Raw genomic sequence first — 25,495 nt, 5'->3', positions numbered from 1 at the left:
AAGAGGCTATGTTCCTAGGGGCCAGGCCACAGCTGTCCACGGAGGGATGGAGCTGGATGTAGGTGGCACAGCCTGGCTGAGGCAGCTGAGCATGGAGAGTGAGACTCTGCTCAAAACACTTAAGAGGAATCCCCAGGGCTCCTTCCAGGCCCTGCTGAGACATGAGGGCTGGGTGGCTTCAGACTTCAGGGAAGGTGGGGCGGGGCAACACAGGGGGCAGCAGGAGTGGACCAAACTGTAACCATGGGCACTGCTTGTAGAATGTAGAGAGTCCATGTTAAGGGCATATACCCAGGAATAAGACGACCTACGTTCGTATCCAGATCCTTCACTTACTAGATAGTAACAGGAATTAGGCAGATGCCTAAACCTTAGTTTTCTCAATTGAAAAAAAAAAGGGATAATAATACCCACCTAATATTGTTGATTAAATATCAGATCTATGAAGGACCTATCACAGTGTCTGGCACATTATAGTAAGTGTTTATGTTAGTTATCTATTGCTGCAAACAAGTTATCCCCAAACTTGGTGATTTAAGCAACAAGCAGTTATCTCACATTATTTGTATGGGTCAGGTATCTGGACAGAGCTTAGCTTCTGCTTCAAAGTCTCTCATGAGACTGTAGTCAAGCAGTTGGTCAAGTGGTCCCATTTGAAGGCTTGGCTGGAACTGGGGAGGGGTGCGTCTAAGCTCACCATGTGGTTGTTGGCAGGCCTCCGTCCTCACCATGTGGTCCTCCACACAGGGCTTCCTCACAACATGGCAGCTGGCTTTGTTTGGAGCACACAATTAAAGAGAGAGCAAGCGAAAATGCCAGGAAGGAAGCCACACTCTTTTTTTATAATCTATTCTCAGAAGGAATATCCCATTACTTCTGATACATTCTGTGCATTGAAAGTGAGTCAGTAATTCCAGACCACACTCAAGGAGAGCGGTTACATAAGGCATGAAGAACAGGAGGCGGAGATCACCAGGGGCCATCTTACAGAATGACTCCCACAATGTTTAATTAATGCTATTTTTATTATTCCATTTGTATATCTTATTCCCCAAATTATTCTCCATTAATGCTGCTACTAATTTCCACTTCTGTGTTTTGCTGCTGTTCCTTCTGCCAGGAATGCCTTCCTCTAAATATCTATGGTTCCCAATCCTACACATCCTTTAAGGCCACACTCAAATGCCACTTCCATGAAGCTTTGCAAATTGCCCCCTTACAGGAAGTACTTTCCTTCTCTGATGTCCAAAAGGGAAGAGTTTGATAAGGGAATAAGGGAAAGTGACAAATCCAGGCTATTGGATTTAGGCCCCCTGAGTCCATGAAGACACCGACTCTGTGAGATTCCAGAAACTTCTGTCATGGCTCTGCTTGTTCTGGGCTGGCTGAGCACCTACCCATTTGCTAATCCTTAGAACTAGGCTTCTCTAATAAACTGATATGAATCCAAAAATTAGAGCTCTTCTGAAGGCTGGACTCCAAAAGCTCCAATAACATATGCAGACAAAGAGCTATTTGCCCCACGTGGAGATAAAGCACTTGAGAGGGAAACCTAACTGTGGGTGGTGTGCTCGTCTTATGAATTCTCTTGTGGGTTTGAGAACTTCATCTTCCAAAAAGGCTCCATGGGGACTGAAAAGGGCCTTATTCCACCCCAGAATACCCTTTTCTAATAAATCCAGTTGTCCCAAAAGGATAAACTACCTAAGGGTGTCCATGGGTGTGGTGGGCAACTAGGGAAGAGACAAAGCCAGGAGTCCTGGATCCGAATTGAGCCAGTTCAGCCATGATCTTCAGCGGGGGGCATCAAGTCAACTTAGGAGGAGAAGAGGAGGAAACTCCTGGGTATTATCCACCCATACTGGGCACTGAACATGATGTCATTAAATCCTCAGAAAAGCCTGGTAAGGAAGGTGATATTTTTCACATTTTACAGGTGAGGAAACTAAGGCTCAGTGAGGTGAAATGGCCTGCCCCAGGTCACACCGCCAGTGGAACACAGACTGCTTGACTCAATGCCCGTATTCATTCCATGATCCTCTCTTACAAATGGCTGTAGGAGAACAAAGGGAAAGGGCAGGGTTAGGAGCCAAGCTAACTAAAGTAACTCCAAAAATAGCTATTACAGACCAAGCATAAAGTTACAGTTAGTTCTCCAAGATTCTAAGCCAAATTTTAGCCAGGCTTCCCTTATTGTTCCTGAGTTGCATAATAGGCAAATCTTCCACAGGGACGACTTGGGGGAAGAAGGTGAGAAAAGATGCTTAGTATGATTAATAGCAAGACTTCCACAGTCCCCTGACCCCCACCCCATTACCAACCCCACCTTTATCAGAAGATGCCTACTAACAAGGATGACACACACATCCAGAAAGTTAACAGGATAAAAAATCTAAATACTAGCTTCCATTCTTGCATGACTTGTCTCCTGCACTCCTCACTCTTTCTGTCCTGGCCTTCTGTTCTTTTAAGATTGGGTCAGCTTTTCTGTTTCAGGAAAGGTGTTTCAAATGTGTTTCCCAAAAGGAAGCAGAGGCTCAAGCCAGGAGAAGATGAGGGCCTCGTTCAAGGCTAAGACAAGCCTAAAATTGCTGATACCAATCCCTTTGTGCTCATCTCCCCTTGACAACATGGACTAGGTTGAATTGCCCTAGATGCCAGGCATGGTGGCTCATGCCTATAATCCAAGCACTTAGGGAGGCTGAGGCAGGAAGATTGCTTGAGACCAGGAGTTTGAGACCAGTCTGGGCAACATAGCAAGACCCTATCTCTCAAAAAACTTTAAAAATTAGCTGGGTGTGGTGGTGCACACCTGTAGTCCCAGCACTTCGGGAGGCTGAGGTAGGAGGATTGCTTGAGCCCAACAGTTCAAGGTTGCCATGAGCTATGATCATGCCACTACTTTACAGCCCGGGTGACAGAGTAAGACCCTGTCTGTAAGAAAACAAACAAACAAAACATTGCTGTTGAGCCTTTTGGGGGTATGGTATGGAAGGAGAGAGAGGTCTAGGAGTGCCCACTCAAGACAATAAGGTAGCATTGGTCTTTTGATGCTCTCAACTAATGTTCTTTAGCACAAACTCTCTGCCAAGCACTGGGCTGTAGGTACAATGGGACTCCAAAGGGAGAGAAACTCAGAATTTCAAATTCCACAGGGGAGATATAATATGCACACATAGCTTAAAAATAAGACAGCATGTTATAAATGCCATTTAAAAATTAAATTAAATTACTATTCCTTGAAAAGGAAAGAAATTTTGACGCATGCTACAACATGGGTAAACCTTGAGGACATCATATGAAGTGCAATAAACCAGTCACAGAAAGACTACTATTGTATGACTTCACTTACCGGGTACCTACAGTAGTTAAGAGACAGAAAATAACATGGTAGTTGCAGGGACTGAGGGGATTGGGAAATAGAGAGTTGTTTTTTAATGGATAAAGTTTCAGTTTTGCAAGATGAGAAAGTTCTGGAGGGTGGTTGCACAACAATGTGGATACACTTAACACTGCTGAAATGTACACATAGAAACATTGAAGATGGTAAATTTTATCTTATGTGTATTCTACCACAATTAAAAATAAAAATTTTGGGCCGGGCATGGTGGCTCATGCCTGTAATCTCAGCACTTTTGGAGGCTGAGGCGGGTGGATCACTTGAGGTCAGGAGTTCAAGACCAGCCTGGCCAACATGGTGAAACCCTGTCTCTACTAAAAATACAAAAATTAGCCAGGTATGGTGGCACATGCCTATAGTCCCAGCTACTCAGGAGGCTGAGGCGTGAGAATCTCTTGAGCCTGGGAGGTGGAGGTTGCAGTGAGCCAAGATCATGCCACTGCACTCCAGCCTGGGTGACAGAGAGAGACTCTGTCTCAAAAAATAAAAATAGGCCAGGCGCGGTGGCTCATGCCTATAATCCCAGAACTTTGGGAGGCCGAGGCTGGTGGATCACCCAAGGTCAGGAGTTCGAGACCAGCCTGGCCAACATGGTGAAACCCCATCCCTGCTAAAAAAAAATACAAAAATTAGCTGGGTGTGGTGGCAGATGCCTGTAATCCCAGCTACTGGAGAGGCTGAAGCAGGTACAATTGCTTGAACCTGGGAGGCAGAGGTTGCAGTGAGCCAAGATCGCACCATTGCGCTCCAGCCTGGAGGACAAGAGCAAAATTCTGTGTCAAAAATAAATTAATTAATTAAATAAAATAAAAATAAATACAAAAATTTTAAAGAAAAAAACTACTATTGACTTACAGAAGGTGAAACAATTATGTATCTCACTGGGGATATCAAAGAAGGCTTCACAGAGGAGGGGCCATTTGAACTGAGCCATTTAGAAAAGATGGGTTAAAGATGGGCAGAAAAGAGCATTCTAGGCGGACAGAGCAGCAGCAGCAAAAGCACATCCTAAAAAAAAAAATCGAGAGATTTCTCTCTTCCATTGCACCAACCCTTAACAGAAAACATTTTTCCAGTGATCAAACTGCCCAAGCCCGCATGTGTGACTCCCAGCACAGCGTGGCTCTCCTGCCCGCTCCCTCTCTTCCTCTCATCCCCTCTCTCTGTGCCTGCCTCTTCCTGCCTCTTGTTCTCTCTCTCTCTGGTGTCTTTTGAACCTTCTAAAATGAACCTTTGACAAAAGTTTGCTTTTAGCTCAGAAGCAGCCTTCCTTAAGGTCTCTTTAATAACAGCAAACACCCAAAGACTCTCACACCTTTATTAACAGAGCTTGTTTTGCTGTTCTTTTTTCTCTCCTTGGATACCAGAAGCTTAAGAAGAAATTACCTCATCACCACTACAGGCAGGTCCCAATTGTAAAAACAGTCCTTTTGACAGACACTTCATCGCCAGTTCTCCCTATGAATGGCAGCTTTGCAGAACAGCCTCTGGCATGGGAGGAAGGAGAGAGCTTCGATTTATATTAATACTTGATTTCTGAACAGAAGTCAAGAGAAGAGTGGGCTCGGTGGAGAATTTCTTCATCTTTGGAGGGATGATTAAACCAGAACTTATTATTCTCCATGTAAATCACCAGGACTTAAAGCAAGAATCCTGCTTTTTCTGATGAGAATGGTAGCCAGGCAAGGGAAGGCATGCAAGGCTGCAGGGAGATAATGGTCTGAGCCCTGGCCCTAGGCACACCCAAAACGCAGGCTTTCCCCAGCAACCAGTGCAGCTGGGGCAGCAGGCAGAGGGTTCACATTATCAGGGTAGCCAGCATGGAGCTTACTCTCGCAGGTTCCCAGAGTGCAGACACGCCTCGTGGGGATGCCAAAACCTGCCTGTTAGAGCGAACCGATGTGGCCTGAAGTGAAACTCTGCTTCCTTCTGCCTGGTGTGACTCAGCGAGGCTGCAGGATCTCCGATGAGAAACTAGCCTTGTGCTTGATTTCTGCCTTTTTGTCCTGTCCATAATTTTTTTTTTTTTTTTTTTTTGAGATGGAGTCTCGCTCTGTCCTCCAGGCTAGAGTGCAGTGGCATGATCTCGGCTCATTGCAACCTCTGCCTCCCGGGTTCAAGTGATTCTTCTGCCTCGGCCTCCCAAGTAGCTGGGACTACAGGAGCACACCACCACGCCCGGCTAATTTTTGTATTTTTAATACAGATGGGGTGTCACTATATTGGCCAGGCTAGTCTCGAACTCCTGACCTCGTGATCTGCCCACCTCGGCCTCCCATAGTGCTTAGAGGCGTGAGCCACCGCACCTGGCCTGTCCTGCCCGTAATTTTTAATCATTACCTTTAATTCTGAGTGAGGACCCGTAGCCTTTTTGAGGATGAATGGTGCCAAGCCCTGAAAATAGAGCGAGCAGCATCGACATAGGCCCTGCCTCCTCTCCACAAAGTCGGCCTCCACGCTGAAGAATTCATACTGCCCTTTTCTGAATTCCTTCAGCTCAATCTAGACAGCTCTCAGGTAGTCAAACACTGGAGAGAAGGCAGAGCTCAGCGTGAGTCGTGAGTCAGGGAGCCTGTCTGGCCTTGACTTTACTGGAATTGATCACTTGGGAGTTAAGGGGGAAAATCTAATTTAGGGACCACAGTCCTTCCTTCGTGTCTATTCAATTACGTTAAAAATTATAACAACAAAACCATGGAATCTCAGCATCGGCGAGAGCCCCTGGTGTCATCTTGGCCAAGCCCGGCAGGATGCAGGAAACCTCCAGGGCATCCCAGCTGCCTTTGCTGGCTCAGATAATCAGACATTTTCCCCGAGAGAAGACTGCAAGTGCACTCCTTTTGGGAGTGAAATGAACTGTTCGGAAACTCTGAGACTAAATGAAAATGAAAATCAGCTTACTTAACAGCCTCCACCCATAGATACTAATGCCTGGCACGTGTGCCTGAGATATGTCTGTTGACTGACCAACTGGTTGACTGATTGATTGAATGAATGAGTGAGTGAATGAATGACTAAACAGAGTGAACTGGCATGGGGATCAAAGGGAAGCAGAGAGAGAAATTGCAGTGGTGAGAGGTAATGGACAAGTGGGAAAAAATGGGGAGACAGAACATTTTTCTCTAAAGATTTTTTTTCTTGTTGTTTTCTGAATAAAATGGGGAGGGAGGGCCAGATTGTTCCAGCGAGTGTTTTCATTCTTCAATAATCCCTTAAACAAGCCATCAACAAAACCAACAATCCAATTTATACGTAATTATACTTGTAAATTTATTTGACAAATAAATAACATTTGTAAAATAATTTAAATTACTTTGGATTAAGGTAATGGTTGCTAAGGACAAGTATTGCCTATTTACCCCAAGTTGCTTTCTCATGACTTCTCTCTCTCCCTCTCTGTCTCTCTCTCTCTCACACACACACACACACACACACACACACCAGAACTTACAAATCATTGCTTCCTGGCCCCCTCAGAGTGAGTGAGCTGGATGAACCAGCTAATAGCTCAAGCACCTTCTCACTCTGTCTCTCATCCCCAAACAGATGTCCCCCACCCTGGCCAGTGAGAGCAGCAAATACCCTCCCCAGCACCCCCTCCCTGCCCCACTCCCACACACCCATCCAGGGCTCCAGATTCTGGCAGAGATGCTGAAGTGGGAGCCTCTCCCAGGCAGCAGACAGTCAGGCAGGCAAACACACATTGCCAGGCATCTTCCTTGCTGTGTGGGAGGGTTGAGGAGAATTCCCAGGGTGCAAGCTGCAAGAGCTCCCCTAAATCTCAAGATAAGGAAGGCTCACGCTGCCTTTCGCGGGGCGGGCTTCACTTGGTGGTGCTGGGCTTGGGCTCAAATAATCAGATGTTTCCCTTTCCTCTCTCCTTCCCCCACCCCCTCGCACACCCTAAGAACAAGTTCTCAGCCATCAGGTTCCACAGCACACTCTCTCCCCCATAAATAGGAGAGCGGGCCTTGCCAATCTGTGTGATGTCTGCATCCTCCTGCTGGAGCCCGTTCCCCAATCCTCCCTTCAGGAGGGCACTGGAATGCAGGAAGCACATCTACAAAGACTGCAGAAGCTGGTACTGAAAATGCCACTGTGTTCTGGATCCTTCCTGGAAAGATAACCACCCCCACTATTTTCCCCCATCTCAGCACTTCCCCCAGCCCTCTAGTACCTGTGATTGGGATGCCACAGTCCCCAGCTCTAGTGAGATGGATAGCAGAAAACTGTGCACTGTTTCTGGGCAGCGAGGACAGCCAACCCAGATCCTGCCAGGCAGATCCTCTCAGCGTTTGGTAATTCAGCTACAAATAGGCCTTTGGCTTTTTAGCTTTCATTTTGCAGATAATTGTAGGCACAGCTCATCCAGCATCTACTCAGTTTTCTCTGCACACTGGTACTAGGACACAGAATTCTTAGAGTGGAAAGCACCCTAGATGGGAATCAATGTTTGGGGAACTCCTGCTACACATCTGACCTTCTGCTGGAAGACTTACATCCATTCATCAAACACACGATGCCTTTTTCCAATTCCATAAATCTGAATTGATCATTTCTCCTTTGCCCTCCCTTAGTTCTTTGTTAGATCAAATACTACAGGACATTTTCCACGTTGCTCTGTTCTGCAGTTACTGGTTGTCCTGTCTGTCTCTCCGCTCAGACTGGGAGCTCCACAAGGGCAGGTCATATTCCTCATGAATCTCTCCCAGCTCCTCACACAGACTCTGATACACAGAATGTGCTTCGCAAAGACGCGTGCAGTGGAATTCCCACTTCCCTCTTTGCCTTCCACTGTACCAAGAAATAATAATTTATCTTCAGTGAAGGGAGTCTGTCCCCCCATTAAAATGTCTCCCACATGCAGGTGGGTTTTATTCACGAGTTTGATGAAACACAGAGAGGAGAATTAGAATGCACCTGGAGTCCTCTCCAGGTCTGTTGGCTCCAAAGCTCTGTGTCTTCAGGTCAGTTTCGGTAATACCATGCTGGGCTAGAGCCAGTGGTGAGCTGCAGCTGGACTTTACTTGCAAAAGCCCATTGTTAATTTTCAGAAAATTTGCAAGCCAGTTGACATGATGTTGCTAGCTTCAAATCAGCCATGGTGAGAGTATTTATACCACAGAAATTGGCAAACAATACAAAATCAGGGCTTCTCCCCAACCCCAAGAGCTGGTTGTTACACATTAAACATATGTTTTGGAAGTTCATTTCAAAATTCAAAGTTCATCTTTGGGCCTAAAGGGGACATTCTCAGTACCACTCTTGGAGTGAATACATACCTAGTGCCCACCAGATACCTGAGCCTGGCAAGAGATGTCCCCAGAAAGTCACGGGCCTTGTTAAATCCTCTTCAATCTGCATCTGAGGCCTCTGGGATTCCATATCTCTGCATGGAGCTCCCAATGACCAAGAACAAAGCCCCCTCTGCTCTTGATCTTACATAGCTCAGCTCAGCTCCGGACGCACAGCAAGTGTGTGCTGCATAACTCAGCAATGAAGCAGTTCCTCCCTCCAGGCCTGTCTCACCCAGGAGAGGGAAGAAGACTTTTATAGGAGGCTCAAACTTTACCACCTTCCATTTGCTTGTGGAGTCCCCAACAAAGAAACGAGGATGGAAGTTTATTCCCAAGGGGTGGGGAGTGAACCAGGGGTCATGCCCATGGGCACCCCTTCTTCTGGGCCTGTTCCCATCACTCTTGGGCTGAGATCATCACAGCCTGCAAACATTTAGTATTTCAGACACCAAATCTCCTTGTGTTAAAATTGACCATTGAAAATAAAAGGCAGTGGCACATTTCTAAGGAATAGACATTATTGTGGTCAAAGCAGCATCCAAATGCAGAAATCTGACCCCACGTGTGTGTGTTTGGGTTTTGTTTATTGTTTTTTTCCAGACTTTTGAAAGTCCTTCAGAAAAGCAAAGGTGAAAGACTTCCGTGGGCTCGAACTAGGAACCAGGACAAAAGCAGGTCAGAGGGGCACCGAGGTCTCCCGGCCCAAAGAGGAGCCTTGGGAAATGGGTTAACCTCTCCAGGCCACGCAGGTCCTTGCAGAAGGAGCAGTTTCCAAAGCTAACAACATTTCTCAAAGCTCCTGCCTGACAGCATGGCCAAAGCTCAACTCAAAAATGCATCTGAAAATGTTAAGGCAACAACTTAGATCATTTTACTTCAAACTGGAAATAAGTGACCTTGGGCTAAAACATCTCCAGCCCAATGGAATGATTTAAGTGTATGTGCTATTGTTGGTATTCAATCTGCTACCATGCCCAAGAGAGCAAAACAATTCCTGCTTTCAACCTTCCTCGGCCTCCTGCCCTGACAGAACCTTCCAGAGCTGAGCAATTTGGACATAAAAATGACAGCTACTCTTGCGCATTGTCTCCCAGTGAAGTGCTGCTTTCCAGAGCCTGAGTTCCTGCCTCCTGCCCTCTCCCCTATCAGCTGGAGATCATGTGATTGTAGCAGGGACTGCATAAGCCCCCATGTTGTTAGAAATTAAAGTAAATGATCAGGCACCAACTCTGCCTTTGACTCAGCTAAAAGAAAAGGAGCCAGATACTACCTTTAATTTCCAGGTGTACACAGGCTGCAAATGCCTCTGGGGACTCAGCTTCCTCGAGCAAGCATCAGGCCTCAGGTATGGGAAAGCCCCTTGAAAGGATGACACGTGGTGGCTCTCGGTGACATCCTGGCCCCGGCTCTCCAGCTCTGCGAGGGCACTTTCAAGACCCACTTTCCCCTGATCTGTTCAAACCTGACATGTTTGCCCAGTTTATCCTTTCAACGCATGCTAGAATAATAAATCATCTCAAGGATGACTTCAATATCTGTGGCATTTCTCAACAATTTTTTTTTTTTTGAGACAGAGTCTTGCTTGTCCCAGGGCTGGGGTGCAGTAGTGTGGTCACAGCTCACTGCAGCCTCCACCTCCTGGGTTCAAGTGATCCTCCCACCTCAGCCTCCTGAGTAACTGGGACTATAGGCATGCACCACCACACCCAGCTAAGTTTTGTATTTTTTGTGGAGATGGGGTTTCACCATGTTGCCCAGGCTGGTCTCGAACTCCAGGGCTCAAGTGATCCACCTGCCTCAGCCTCCCAAAGTACTGGGACTACAGGCATAAGCCACTGCGCCTGGCCTATCAACACTTTTATTCATACTAGTTTTAAGTTTTCAGAGGTGTTATTTGTCTTCCTTACGTATATAAATGCAAAGTTTACACCTTCCAAGCTAAATAATTGCTGTCTGCAACATTTACTGTCACATTTTTTGAGGAATGTTATTGAAAACTTTTGGACTTTTGAATCAGTTCTTTACCAAGATAACTTTTTGTTAAAAAAAAAAATCATTGTTTCTCATTGTCAACTTGAATAAGTAACACTATATTTTTACTATAAATCTGTACTCTATTTTCAACACATGGGCTATTTTACTCACATGTATGTTTCTGCCTAATTTAAGCCTTTAAAAACTCAAATTAAATTTTACTGTCTACAATATGTTCAGGCTATGTACTAGAAGGGAAATCAAAGAAAATATAAACTGCATTATTTGGGCTAAAGGAATGTAAAATCTCTTTTTGTTTGTTTGGTTTTTTGAAACAGAGTCTCGCTCTGTCACCCAGGCTGGAGTACGGTGGCACGATCTCGGCTCACTGCAACCTCTGCCTCCCAGGTTCAAGCAATTCCTGTGCCTCAGCCTCCTGGGTAGCTGGGGCTACAGGCATGCTCCAGCATGCCCGGCCAAGTTTTGTATTTTTTAGTAGAGATGAGGTTTCACCATGTTGTCAGGCTGGTCTTGAACTCCTGGCCTCAAGTGATCCGCCTACCTCAGCCTCCCAAAGTGCTGGGATTACAGGCATGAACCACCACACTCAGCCTGGAATGTAAAATCTTGTTGAGAGAATTTTACCAAATAGTATCAAATACACTCCTAGTTCAGTGGGGTACATCAACCATCAGCCCCAGAACCAGTTTATAACCATGACGTGTCCAGAATAGCAGTGTTTCCACCACAGAACTGGCCTGCCATGGAGAATGGGTGGACACCAGATTCTTAACCAGCAACTATTTCGGAAACGGAACTGGAATGACCTCCAGCAGAACAATTAAAAACTTTCTTTAAAGAACGTTCTTTTAAAAACTTTCTTTAAAGAACCTTATGGGCCGGGCATGGTGGCTCATGCCTATAATCCCAGAACTTTGGGAGGCTGAGGCAGGTGGATCACGAGGTCAAGAGATTGAGACCATGCTGACCAACATGGTGAAACCCCATCTCTACTAAAAATACAAAAATTAGCTGGGCGTGGTGGCTACTGGGAGGCTGAGGCAGGAGAATCACTTAAACCCGGGAGGTGGAGGTTGCAGTGAGCCAAGATCGTGCCATTGCACTCCAGCCTGGCAAGACTCAGTCTCAAAAAAAAAAAAAAAATTGTGGAAAACATTAGCTGATCCTTTTACTAGACCCTATTTTGAGAGGCCCCTGCATTTCCAGGGCAAGATAGAGAAAAGAGACAATATCTGGCTCACAGAAAATGCAGAGGCTTCACTCATCTCTTGGCATATCCCAGTCCATGGCAATGAGGCTCTGCACATCTCTCCCCAGGCCAGAGGGGTTCATCTGACCAAAGTTTACATAAAGCATAAGAGGGTATCACCCTCTCATTCTCATCTCAGTACATACCAGTCCAAATTCCCTGAGAGTTGACAGGCAGGTTATCAGGGAGAAAGGGCAGATTAAGCTTTGCCCCTTATTCAACCTTGGAGGTCATCCCCCCAAGAGGTCTTGGCATCTTTTGACCCCAGCACCATCTTCCCTGGAGATGGGAAGGTGGATCTGAGTCATCCCCTGCAATCAGATTCAGTCAATCAAGTGAATCACAAATTACATAAATCCAGTAAGTACAATCTAGGAAAAAAGAAAAAGCAAAACATTTGATGAGGAGGACAAGTTATTACCCTACTTAATAGATGCTAAAATTTAGGGTCTGATACTGGGGGAAAAAGGAAAACATTCACCAAAATAATTTTGACTCCATACCCCTTCTTCTAAGTGAGGAGTCCAGAGTAAGTCTCCTATGTCCATTCAAAGCCAATCTCAGCTCATGAACTTAAGCATTGTCTTGATCAACTGCCTCCTCAAGGTTCTGGTAGCTCTGCCTATAAGCTGAGTGGCATTAGCCAAATTACCTAACTTCTTTGGTATTGTTTTCCTCACCCTTCAGATGAAGCTGTGATCTCTACGTTCTCTTTAGCTATCCAAATCTAAAATTCTCTGACTATGCTGCACAGATAGCTTTGCCCTCAATTAAGTGTTCTTTATTTAGGGAACAATTTCTGGAGGTATTAACCTTCAGCATCCCAAGAAATGGACAAAGCCACAGCTGTAGACTGAGACAATCCTTCTCCAGGAAACACGAAAGGAGCCTTCTGGAATGGCCGGGCTGGTCTGCTCACACCAGCCTTTTCAGTCACACCTGACCCAGAAATAGCCACACCGTCTGCAGGGATAAGTTGCTCTGAAAAAGTAGGGCGATAGAAACCACAGGACTTTTAGACACAGCTGGATGGGATTTCAAGAAGCAAAGTCCCGGATGACAAGCTGACACTAGCCTGCCATTATGTCAGCATCTTATTCCTGCAGCAATTGGATACCTGGACACCAGTTATTCTCCAAACCTACACTTGCCCCTGCCCCGAAGATTTTGAAGATGTGGTTGGCAGAAGAGTCAGAGTGAGAGAAGGGCGAGGCACATCAGTGCGGAGTCACAGCTACCTCTGCACTTCCCTGAGCCCCTGAATGAGGGATTGTTTGTGCAACTGGGAATCGGAGCTTCTCCTGTGTGTCATGTGCAGTTTGGGCTGCACCCGCCCTGCCTGCTGGGCCTGTAGGGTGTGTAGGTTATGTCGAAACAAGACTGCACCCAGACACTACCCTAGGCCTCAGGCACCCTGGGAGTTCTGCTGTGTCAGGGACCCGGCGCTGCAATCTTTTTGTCTTCCAAATGAGACCTGGTAAGCAGGTTGGGCTCCCCAGAGGGGATGGCATAACTCAGGACTGGGACATGCTAGGTGGTAGGTACCTTTTGCTTGTATCCCTCAGGGGTGAGAGCAGAGGATGCGGGCAGCCCTGGGAACTCTGGCTTAGTGACCTGGCATCACGGGAGTGTTCATAACTTGCTCTGTGAACATTCTCTAACCCAGAAAGCAAAGGGGGACTGCCTTCCTTTGGCAGACAGGCATGAGCACTGCTCACCTTGGGTGTGGAGAGGTTGTCCTGTTCTAGCCCTTCGAGGACAGTAGCATCTAGGGGATCCCCCCGCTATCTCACACACACACACACACACACACACACACACAAACACAGACATCCATAAGTGCCTCCTCTCCAGCCACCCTGTACTGTGACTGTTGAGCCCCACATACCCTGCATGACAAAGTACTCTGCCTTCTGCCAGTAGAGACATTGGGTGTAGCCAGGTGGACCAAGTACTGAAGAAAAGGTCCTTGTGTGGCATTAAAGTTGCTGCAGGGGACTCAGCCTCTGGCAGAGCCCCTGTGCCGTAGCACAAAACCAGTTTCTGGATCTCATTCCTCTAGGGTCTCTGGGCATGCATTTCTGGTAGCTCCATGCCACCTCCAACATTCCTGAGCAGGAATGAACCTCATGCCTGTCCACGGGCTGCAGTCACCCTGCAGGTGAAGGCACCACGGGTGGGGCGCCCTCCCAGGAGGTTGGCCAAAGAACACCTGTTCGGAGAAATGGTGCCGATGACTCAGCAAGTGGCACTCTTCCTCAGATGCATCCCTGACTCTGTGCCTGGCCTGCTGGTGGGGACTTGGAGCAATCTAGGGGGTGGCTCTTGGGTGAGTCAGAAACCAAGAGGCTGACTCTTTATACTCCCAGGGACCCAAGACTTTCTCAGAAAAAAAGCAGGCAGAATGAACTTCTATTCACTCTTTCTCCTTTTGGCCTCTGTCCGCCTGTGGTGATCATAGGAAGTGCTTATATGCTTTTTCACTGCTTCTAAAACTGTTGCTGAAAGTTTTTGGGCCTTGTGAAATAAGAAAAGTTAATTAAGAAGGTTCCATAGTAGATCAATGTGGATGACCAAATTATAAAGCTAATGACCTGTATCTATACCATTCTATATGATAGCCACTAGCCACGCATGACCATTTCAATAAAATTAATTAAAATGTAAAATTTGGTTCTCCAGCCATACCAGCCACATTTGAAGAGCTCAGTAGCTGCCTGCGGCCAGTGGCCGCAGCATTGGACAGCACAGCTATAGAACATCTCTATCATCACAGACATTTCCACTGCACAGAGGTAATCCAAATACATAGTGTTAGAGATCCACTCAACTTCTCATTCATTCATTTACTCAAGTATTTACAGAGGGTCGGCTGTGTTTTAGTGGCTGTGGGTGAACAAAGATGGCAAACAGGTGGTCCCTGCACACTCTAAGAGTTTATAACTGGTTGGGAATTCAAATGTGTAACCAAAGATACAGAACTCTTTCATTCTGGGACTGAAACAAGCGATACACAAATGAATAGAATGCTTCTAAAAGGTCAGCTTCCAAAAAGAAGAGGAGGGAAATGAGTCGGCCTGGTTGGACTTCAGATTATTAATCTTTTACTTAGCATCTGCCTAAGGAAGTGTGGGTAGTAAGTTAGCTTAGACCTGAGTGACAGATGTGACAGACACAGGGCAATTAGGCCAAAAGGAGGAAAGTCCAGACCCACAGCTCTCCTGGGAAATTTCTGACTATGCATCCTGAGGAGGGCAACTGCATGAACACCACTGGTAGAGGAGAGGGCCATTGTCTCAGGCAGTCATATCCCAGGGCTGCAAAGGCTAACATTGCCATTCACCTCCTGGAACTCTGGGACGTGGTGCTTTCCACCGTACTTCTGAGAAAGTAGCAAGCAACTGGCTGGCTCTTTCTCCAATCCAGCTGCTCCTTGTTTGCAAGATTTTCACAGAGTGATTTCAAAGGTTTTTATAAGGTGTTCAAGTTGGGCAAGCACATTGGATATGCACCAAGTACAGCGTCTGGAAAAGGGATCCCAAAGCCCAGAGAGGGTGAGAACCTCTCACAGAACTTCTCAGCCAGGTCATCTTAGGGCAGAGATGCTCAGGGAAGAAAGATACCAAAATAAAGGGCATGGAGACACCACCTGAAACTGATGAATTGTGTGGGAGAGAAGCAGGTAGAGAAACGCAGACACGTAACTCAGAGCCCCCAGAGAGACCAGCGGGTCATCTTCAACCTGGAAGGAGTTGTAATGGCTCACAGATGGGTGACCCCTGGCAGCTGCTCGCTAAAGGTGTCCAAGAATTTGTTTGGGGGAGTTATTTTTTAACACTTGAGATCACCAGAGATGGTTTGTGAGTCATAAAGCTGGATGCTGGGCTCCCCGGGCAGTTGAGCTACAGAAGAGCTATTCTGAAAAAAAGACTGTGGGAATAAGCAATTCATTTTTTATGTGATGTTTTGAATAGGGTACGTAGTTGCGTGATTCAAATCTGAGGAAATGTGTATTAAAAGGTTCACGGTGAACAGTTGCCTTGCCCCTGCTGCCTATCTGCCTAGTTCCCACACTTCTCCGACCTGCACTTGGGCAACCACTATTACGTTCTTTTGCACCCATCCGAGTTATTTTTAAAACTTTTATTTATTTATTTATTTGAGACAGGGTCTTGCTCTGTCATCCAGGCTGTAGTGCAGTGGCATGATCTCAGTTCACTGCAGCCTCGACCTCCCCGGCTCAAGCAATCCTCCCATCTTGGTCTCCTGAGTACCTAAGACTACAGGTCTGTGTGACCATGCCCAGGTGAGATATATATATATACACAAATATATATATATATATATATATATATATATTTGTTGTTGTTGTTGTTGTTGTAGTGGCCGGGCACGACGGTGGCTCACGCCTGTAATTCCAGCACTTTGGGAGACCAAGATTGGTGAATCACTTGAGGTCAGGAGTTCGAGAACAGCCTGGCCAACATGGTGAAACCCCGTCTCTACTAAAAATATAAAAATTAGTTGAGCGTTGTGGCACACGCCTTTAATCCCAGTAGTTACTCAGGAGGCTGAGACAGGAGAATCGCTTGAACCTGGCAAGCAGAGTTTGCAGTGAGCCAAGATCCTGGCACTGCACTCCAGCCTCGGTGATAGAGGGAGACCCCGTCTCAAAAAATATATTTTTGTAGAGACGGTGTCTTGCTCTGTTGCCCAGGCTGGTCTCAAACTCCTGGGCTCAAGCGATCCTCCCAAAGTGCTGGGATTACAGGGGTGAGCGACCACACTCAGCCTCTGTGAACTTCTAATCATATCTTTTACTCATTCTATGGGTCTTTGGCTACTTTTAGCAATCAGTTTCTAATTAATTTTGCTCATCAATGTTTTTATCAATTTCAAGACTAGCCCTTTGTCTGTGAACTGAGGAATACAATATAAACACAGAGCTAATGAATAACAGTCTTAGCCAAAGATACTTTGATGATTCCCTGTAAAATTATTTTCAAGGCAAGGATTTCAGCCCTGTCCCCCAGGCTCCCCGCCACCCCACGTCACACCAGGTTGCTGGCCATTTTTTTTTTTCACTTCTTTTTCTTCCTTGGGCCTTTGCATTGGCTATTTCCTCTTCCTGGAATGAGGTTTTCCCTTTGTCCTCCTGGTAAATCCCTGCTCACTTTCTCAAGGCCTATGGCACCTTCTCATTAGAAAGAGCAAGTGAGGACAGAGGTGAGTGACTATCTGAAACCGCAAGTCCTTTCCCTGAATCACAGTGCATGGAGGGGAGACCCAGGCTGGGCAAACAATTTTGAAGCGGTGGAAGTTGGGAAGTTGAGGGAGGTCAGTGGGAGACCCTTGGTGGGAGGTGGAGCTGATGACAGCCCGGGTGAGGATGTGGCTGAATGAGGAATCTTCTGCAGGGCAGGGGCTGTGGAGGATGGGTTGGGGGGTGAGCCTCAATGGGACACAAGGCCTGGGCACATGCATTCAGTGGACAGAGCTTCCAGAGAGGACGAGAGGACGGAGAACAGAGCACGGGGAAGGACACAAAGTATGAATACAGGGGACTCAAGACCAGGCTACAGAATCTTCCAAGGGGCTGCAAGGAGAGGAATTTCAACTGGAAACCAAAGGACCTTGACTCCAAAATGCCCTCATCTTCCAAAAACCCATAAAGAAGAGAAAGAGTGAGAGATGTCCCAGCCTCTGACAAGGAAAATAATTAAGGTAAAATATGGCTGGGTGTGGTGGCTTACACTTGTAATCCCAACAATTTGGAAAGCCAAGGAGGGCGGATCACTTGAGACCAAGAGTTCGAGACCAGCTTGGACAACACAGTGAGACCCCATCTCTACAAAAATAAAAAATTAGCTGGGCATAGGGGTGTGTGCTTGTGGTCCCAGCTACGTGGGAGTCTGAGGCAGGAGGATTGCCTGGGAGGTCGAGGCTGCAGTGAGACGTGATCACACCACTGCACTCCAGCCTGGGAGACAGAATGAGCCCCTGTCTCAAAATAAATAAACAAACAAAAAGGTAAGATGTGAAGAAAGACATTAAACTTCAAGAATCTGGGCTTAGAGCAGCCAGAGATGGTGAGAGAATTTGAAAAGCCTGTGAAGAGACTCATGAAATCAGGTTTTAACTCTAAACCACGGGGTAGAATTCATGCCTGACTACGTGCCCACCACTTGCTCCAAAAAGATTTGCACCCAGACTCACCACACCATGGGAAAAGAGTTTCGTGTCTCATAAAGTAGCCTACTGGATGTGCTACACTTGAGGGCAGACAAGTTGGGGGATCGGTATTCTGATCTCCTGGGTGGTACCAGCGATTACCTAGAGAAGCCACAACAAGAACTCAGGAAGCTTCTGGCTGGAGGGCCGCCCTGGGAACTTCCCTCATACACTTCTCCTCGTGTATTCATTCAGCACATGTTTTTTGAGCACCTGCTGTGTATTGGGCACTGTGCTAGGGGCTGGGGATGTACTGGTGACTAAGGCACTGAGCCTGCCCCAGCTGCTCTAGTGCAGTGGGAGAGATGGACACTCACACAAGCCAGTGTTACGTGTGCTCTGGTGAAAGTGAGCACTGGGGCCTGTGGGGCTGCAGAGAGAGGGGCCTGGTCCACTTTTGGGGTGTCAGGGAAGGCTTCCCAGCAAACATGACTCCTAAATCAACAGGGGTCATTTGGAGAATAGCCTACTCATGAAAGACCCTTGAGACCACCTGCCCCAGGAGTGGGTAGAGAACTCTCCTGCAGCAAGTGTAGAAAGACAGCGTGAGGCCAGGAGCCTCAAGTTAATATACTGGACTTCCAAATAAAGGAGGAAAGTTTAGAAAACCAAATCAAGAGATAAATGCTTTTCTCCTTCTCATTGTTCTGACCCAGACAGTCAAATTCTTGCACGACTTATACCTTAAAAGCAATGTGTGTGCAAATTCCAAGCCAAAAATAGAAGCCATGCCTGATAGGATCCATTCTCATTCCTTTGTTGCTGACTTTTGTATTAGCTCTTAGCTGAAGTTCAGCATTTTCTGATACCATCTTCTGCATTGAACTCCTCCTCCTCCTCTCCAAACTCCTTTAAGGATTCCAAGCAGCCTTATTCAATATTTATATGATCTGGACACAGCAAGACTTCTTTGATCTGCAGTGAGCAAGAACTGAAGATCATTGGAGCTTGGCCCTCAGCAGCTGCTGTTCCCCGAATTTGCCCCTCCCCCAGGGGGTCCACAGGAGCCCTGCGGGGTGAAGGCATCACCTCTTTGTGCAGCGGCTTTGCTTCCACTGGGCACTGGTAGAGACCTGCCAGTCCCCCGTGGGGCAGAAGAAAGAGATCTGCTGCATACTTTAGCTAAGTACTTTTTAAAACACAGAGATTCTGCTTGGATTTTTTCTTGTGAACAGTTAGCAGAAGCAAAAAGTCAACAAACCCCCAATGGACAGCCCACCCCAATAGGGCCAGCACATGCAACAGAAAAGTGGATAAGAGTTGAGACTGCTCTTTTTTCCATTGCGACTTAGAATTCCCAAGGCTAGGCTGCCTGTTTTCTTTCAGCAGAGGAAGCAATGAGATGCAGGACCTGTGTGCTTCATTCTCTCACACAGACGCACACCTCAATCAGGATGCTAAATAATGAAAATACCCTGGGACTTGCTGCCAAGACCTTCAATAAGAAATGAAGGCCAGTTCAGACATCTGTATTGGTTTGCCTCTGGCACAGAGGGTCTGCAGGAGTGCTAAGCCAACTCCATTGCTGTTATCTTCTCAGACTAGCCACAAGAAGAACACCTCCATCATTGCTGCTTCCAGACATAGAGTCTGTCTAGGTCAGTTAGCTGTGGGACACCAAAACATACTGGGCAGGTGGGCATGGTGACTCACGCCTATAATCCCAGCACTTTGGGAGGACAAGGCAGGAGGATCACTTGAGCCCAGGAGTTTGAGACCAGCCTGAGCAACATAGCATGACCCCCTCTCTACAAAAAAATTTAAAAGTTATTGGCCAGGTGCAGTGGCTCATGCCTGTAATCCCAACACTTTGGGAGGCTGAGGCAGGTGGATCACTTGAGGTCAGGAGTTCAAGACCAGCCTGGCCAACATGGTGAAATCCCATCTCTACTAAAAATGCAAAAATTAGTTGGGTGTGGTGGCACATGCCTGTAATCCCAGCTACTTAGGAGGCTGAGGCACGAGAATCACTTGAACCCGGGAGGCGGAGGTTGCAGTGAGCTGAGATGGTGCTACTGCACTCTAGCCTGGGCAACAGAGCAAGACTCCATATCAAAAAAAAAAGTTAGCCATGTGCAGTGCTGTGCACCTGTAGTCCTAGCTACTTGGCAGGCTGAGCTGGGAGGATTGCTTGAGCACAGGAAATCGAGGCTGCAGTGAACTGTGGTCCACCACTGGATTCCAGCACAAGTGACAAAGTGAGACGCTGTCTCCAAAAAAAAAAAAAAAAGGAAAAGAAAAAAAGAAAAGAAAAAGAAACTGGGCATCCTAGAAGGGCGAAGAGGCTTTTTGCCATAGAAGGTCTTGTTTTACCAACATCCTGGAAAAGTAATATGGCATCATCAAAGGCATGGTTCAGGGTTGGTGAATACAGCACAGCTATATTTACTCTCTTGCTATCTCTGTCCATCTTTTGTACAGACATAACTAATCAATCATAACCCATTTTTCCTTTGGAAAATATGTACCATCTGGGGAGCCATAGTTACTGAAGATCCTTGGGCTGCAAAGAAAGTAGAAAGGAGCACTGATCTCCATTACCGGGGAGGTTAAGCCTTACGGTTAGCAGTTTAAAAGAGTCTTTCCCTAACACTTTTATACTTAACAATCCAAGTGAATTCATTCTTCTCACGGGGAAAAAAAGCATTGAGCTGCTGGTTCACTGAGTGAATGATGGCAAGCAAGAGCTCAGATATCCCATAAGGAGATACTCACATAACCCAGGAAGAGCCTACGAGACTGTATTGAGCAATATTGGAGATAGGAATGCAGGACGCCTTGCTCCTGGGGCTGAAATCAATCCGCATCTCCCCCAGCATTGGAGACCAAAGGAACAGGGCTAAAGCCCAACCTTGAAGCCTCCTTGGTAACTCCCAGTACTCAGAAAGGATGGAGAAGAGAACAATCCCTTATCTACCTTCCTATATAAGTTGCTTCATTTATTCATTTATTTACTCACTAGATGACCAATATTTCTCGTGGATCTAGCTTTGACTAGGCACTAGGACTTCGACTGGGGGCGAGCAAGGGTGGCTGCATATTAACTGAGATTCCTGCTTGTGAATTTCATACCTCTCTGCCACCATCTCCCCCTCAGTTCTCAGGCATTGATTGCTTCAAGCAGGAAGTAACACTGCAGAATGGCAGACAAAACACTCTTGAGATTCAAGGGTAGGCTTTCCATTTTCTAGAGCCTAGTATATATATGTCAAATATCAAGGTCCTAGTAGCAACTTTTTGGGGTAACAAATCTGTTCTATATCTTACTTGTGGTGGTAATTACATGTTTGGACATATTTGTCAAAACATATATAAGTCTACACTACACTAAAAAGAGTAAAATTCGCTATAAGTAAGTTACTACCTTAAAATTAGGAAAATAAACATAATATGGAGTAGGAAAAAAGTGACACATACAATAAGAAAACTTTTTAGATGTATATAATAGAACATATTCTTTTTAAATGCATAAACAAATAATAACAGAACAAAAATCTACAAGAGACAGATGAACGCCAGTTTCAGCATAGTCAATACTTCCAGGGAGCAGAGGAGAGTGGAAGTATTTGGCTCTATCTATAGTGATTTATTTTATTTTTAAGAAAAGAGGGATCTAAAGCAAACATGACAAAATTTGAACATCTGTTTACTTTTGATAGTAGGTACAAAAGTGTCATATTATTTTCTGATCTTTCTGTATATTAAAAAAAATTTTTTTGAGACAGGGTCTGGCTCTGTTACCCAGGCGGGAGTGCAGTGGCGTGATCTCGGCTCACTGCAACCTCTGCCTCCCAGGCTCAAGCAATCCTCCCACCTCAGCCTCCTAAGTAGCTGCGACTACAGGCACCCACCACCCCACCCAGCTAATTTTTGTATTTTTAGTAGAGATTGGGTTCCACCATGTTGGCCAGTCTGATCTTGAACTCCTGAGCTCAAGTGATCTGCCCACCTTGGCCTCCCAAAGTGCTGGGATGACAGGTGTGAGCCACCATGCCTGGCCTGTATATTAAAATTTTCTTTATAATTTGTTAAAAAGTTTTAAAATCATACACACACATACACACACTCACACACACGGCCCTGAATGTCCCTGGTCCTGGCCCTAAACAATAGATTTGGAAATCAGAGGCAAGTAACTAAGAGTAAAGATGAAAGCAAAAGAATTAGCCATTGTGGTGAGTCCTAAGGTTGCAGTGGGGCTGGGATTTTAGCCTCCTGTCCAGAGAAGTGGCCTGGAAGTGGCAGATCTTATAGAGTCCCAGCAGATCTGAGAACTCCTGGGAGAATTTCCCCATCCTGCAGGGTACAGAGGCAGCCAGGTGCTTCCCATGGCTCAAAAGGGCATGGAAGGAGTGAGTGACGTCAGATCTGAGAGGTAAAGGGCCCAGAATTGGCTGTTTCTGCCACTTGGAGCAGATACTCAAAATAGATATTCGGAGAGTTATAGAAAAATAAAGAATTTTACATTACCTGCACATTTAGGTTTGTTAGAACTTGGCTACATCAAAGATGAGTAAGTCACAATCTCTGCTCTCAGGAGCCCATGGGTTATCTGGGAGACAGAGAAGTAAATAAGCCATTAGGATGTGATGTTCTCAGGGGAAAGGGGGATGAAATCAAATGAAAGCTCCTTGTACAGAAAAGTATTTGGTGAGACCCCTCCCATCCCTCTCTCCAGTCGAATCTTTTGAGCATGTATTAGTTATCTATTGCTGTGCAACAAATTACCTTATAATTTGGCAGCTTAAAACAGTTAACATTTTATTATCTCACAAAGTTGGGATTTGGGAAGTGGCTTAGCTGGCAGGCTGTGGTGCAGGATCTCTCACTAGGCTGTGCTCAAAATGTTGACGGGGGCCAGGCACAGTGGCTCATGCCTGTAATCTCAGCACTTTGGGAGGCCAAGGAGGGTGGATCACTTTAAGACAGGAGTTCGAGACCAGCCTGGCCAACATGATGAAACATGTTGAAACATGTTCTGTATTTTTAGAACATGTTTAAATACATGAACTTAAACAGGTATTTAAACAGAAATACAGAAATTAGCCAGGCATGGTGACACATGCCTGTAATCCCAGCTACTCGGGAGGCTGAAACAGGAGAACTGCTTGAACCCGGGAGGCGGAGGTTGCAGTGAGACAAGATCATGCCACTGCACTCCAGCCTGGGCAACAGAGCAAGGCTCCATCTCAAAAAAAAAAAAAAAAGACTGGGCTGTAGTCATCTGAAGGCTGGACTGGGACAGGAGTTCCCAATCCTAGGTGGTTTTTTCGTATGACTGTCCATTGCTGGTTGCTGGCAGGAGGCCTTAGTTCCTCACCATAAGAGCCTCTCCCTAGGGCTATTCGAGTGTCCTCATAGTATGGTATCTGGCTTCCCCCAGAATGATTGATCCAAGAGAAAGAGCAAGAAAGAAGCCACATTCTGTTTAAAAGAAGCAACTTCTTAAGTCTAGCCCATACTGTAGAGGAGAATTCAGCTCCATCTCTTGAAGGGAGGAGTATCAAATAATGCATGGACTTATTTTAAAGCCACCAAAGGGAACAAAGGAAGCCAGAGTTCCTAAACTTTCTTTCTCCACTGTCCTGACTCCCCAAGTGTGATGGATGACTATGGATCCAGTTATTGGCAAGACTAAAATTGAGATTCAGACATTATCAGGAAAGATTTGGAATCTAAACACAAAAGAGCGCAGGCAAAACTGTGTCACTTCTGGGATGGAGCCCTCGAGTGAATCCAGACGTTTCCTCCAAACTCAGGGAACCAGCATGAAAGAGAAAGAAGAAGCCAGACATACGCCCTGTTAGCTAGCGTCTGAGGAGTTTCCTTAAGCAGGATGATAGAATCGAGGAGGGATGGGCAGGCCCTGAGAGGCAGGCAGCATCAGAGAGGCCCAGCCACAGGGGCTGGCAGGGGCAAGAAAGCAGTCTTGGGGTCTGGGGCCCTTGGGTGCAGAGCTGGATGACTCAATAGGTAGCTGAAATACGGATTTGGAGACCCAGCCCAGCAGGCATCTCCCACAAAACTGAAAAATGTTTGGCTTCAGTGAGAACTGAACTGAAATTTTACAATCTAGATATCTCAAGTGAAATCATTTTAATCTCAGCATCTATATCAGTTTTGTGTTTTAAGTGTTAGTATCATTTTTATTTTGAATTACATAATGGCAGGGCAGAGGGAGGATGGCAGAAGGGTCTGTAAAGCCGAACTTACCAACTCGTATGTCCCAGCATCCTGGTGGCCTGTTCACAGGCAGGGCTCTCACCTGCAGCCATGTAGCCACTACTCTGCACAAAGCAGCTAGCAGGAGGGGCATGTGGGAGCTGAAAGCAGTCTGTGTCCTGACCACCAAGCCTGGCATCCAGCTTGTGAAAATACGGCACATTTTTATTATTCCTAGTTTCTGCTAGCTGATGGTTCTGCTAATGAGTTATAGATGAGTTGAGATGTGGAGCTCTCTAGCTCTTGGGAGGCCAGGCAGGTGAGAGAAGCTGGAGCCCCCAGGCCAGATTCCGCCTGCTGGGAGAAGCTTTGCCCAGAGACCAACTCAAAGAAAATAAAAATGGATGGAGGCCCAAACCCAGCCATAAGCAGGCAGCTCACCACACAACAAACAGCAATACCCTACCTTGTGCAGGGTTGGGCAGTGCTGTACATCCCATCAAGGACTCCTTACAGGTCCTCTGCTTATTGACCCCAAGTCTGGGTAGTATGGGCTCCCAGGCTAACCAAGGGGGCATAGGAGCAGTGCCAGAGGAGAGCGAGGAGATGGGCAGCCTACACCGAGAGCCTGCCCTCCCAGAGGGGTGCACTGGGAAAGCTGGCTCAGCCAGTCCCTCCAGAGTTCCAGCAGCTCCACTCTCCCCAACCTGGTGGCCCAGCCCCACAAAGGGGCTATCCCTGAGACCCTCCTCTGAAATGCCCCTCCCTTCGAAGAGCTCCATCCAGTTGGAGGGGCTGTGAGCTGGAGTGGAGCAGCATAAAGATGAAGGATATGAGGCCAGATCCCTCCCCCACTAAATACAGCCTGAATCTGATCGTCACAGGTTGTGCTGGACAGCTTTATTTGCCCACAGGATTGGAAGTTAGAGGCCCATGGACTGGATTACGCTAAAGGAAGTGACATATGCAAATGAGTCACATGCCAGGCTGCTGCGACCAGACTGACAGCTTTATCATGCAGTACCCCGTATCTCTCAGGGCCTGTTTACAGAAAGGTCTGGAGTCTTCTCTTGTCTTTTGGCAACGATCCAGCTTGCTCAGGCATGACTTCTCATGGAAATTCGGTTTGACTTTAAAAATGCTCCTTGTGGTGGTAACTTA

The 25,495-nt window shown here is 46.5% G+C and overlaps 1 long non-coding RNA gene across 1 annotated transcript; it reads right to left on the bottom strand.

Annotated features, from left to right (window-relative positions):
* Positions 1-970: 970 nt before the first annotated feature.
* Positions 971-25,168, bottom strand: SLEAR (STAT1 regulated ILF2 complex interacting lncRNA). The gene is made up of 3 exons (NR_033962.1): positions 24,386-25,168; positions 22,643-22,724; positions 971-2,053 (listed from the first exon to the last, which is right to left on the bottom strand). It is a non-coding gene; the product is annotated as an STAT1 regulated ILF2 complex interacting lncRNA (long non-coding RNA).
* Positions 25,169-25,495: the final 327 nt, after the last annotated feature.

This window comes from Homo sapiens, chromosome 8, assembly GCF_000001405.40.
Source record: "Homo sapiens chromosome 8, GRCh38.p14 Primary Assembly".
NCBI lineage: Eukaryota > Metazoa > Chordata > Mammalia > Primates > Hominidae > Homo > Homo sapiens.
This window is presented reverse-complemented; position numbering and strand designations above follow the sequence as displayed.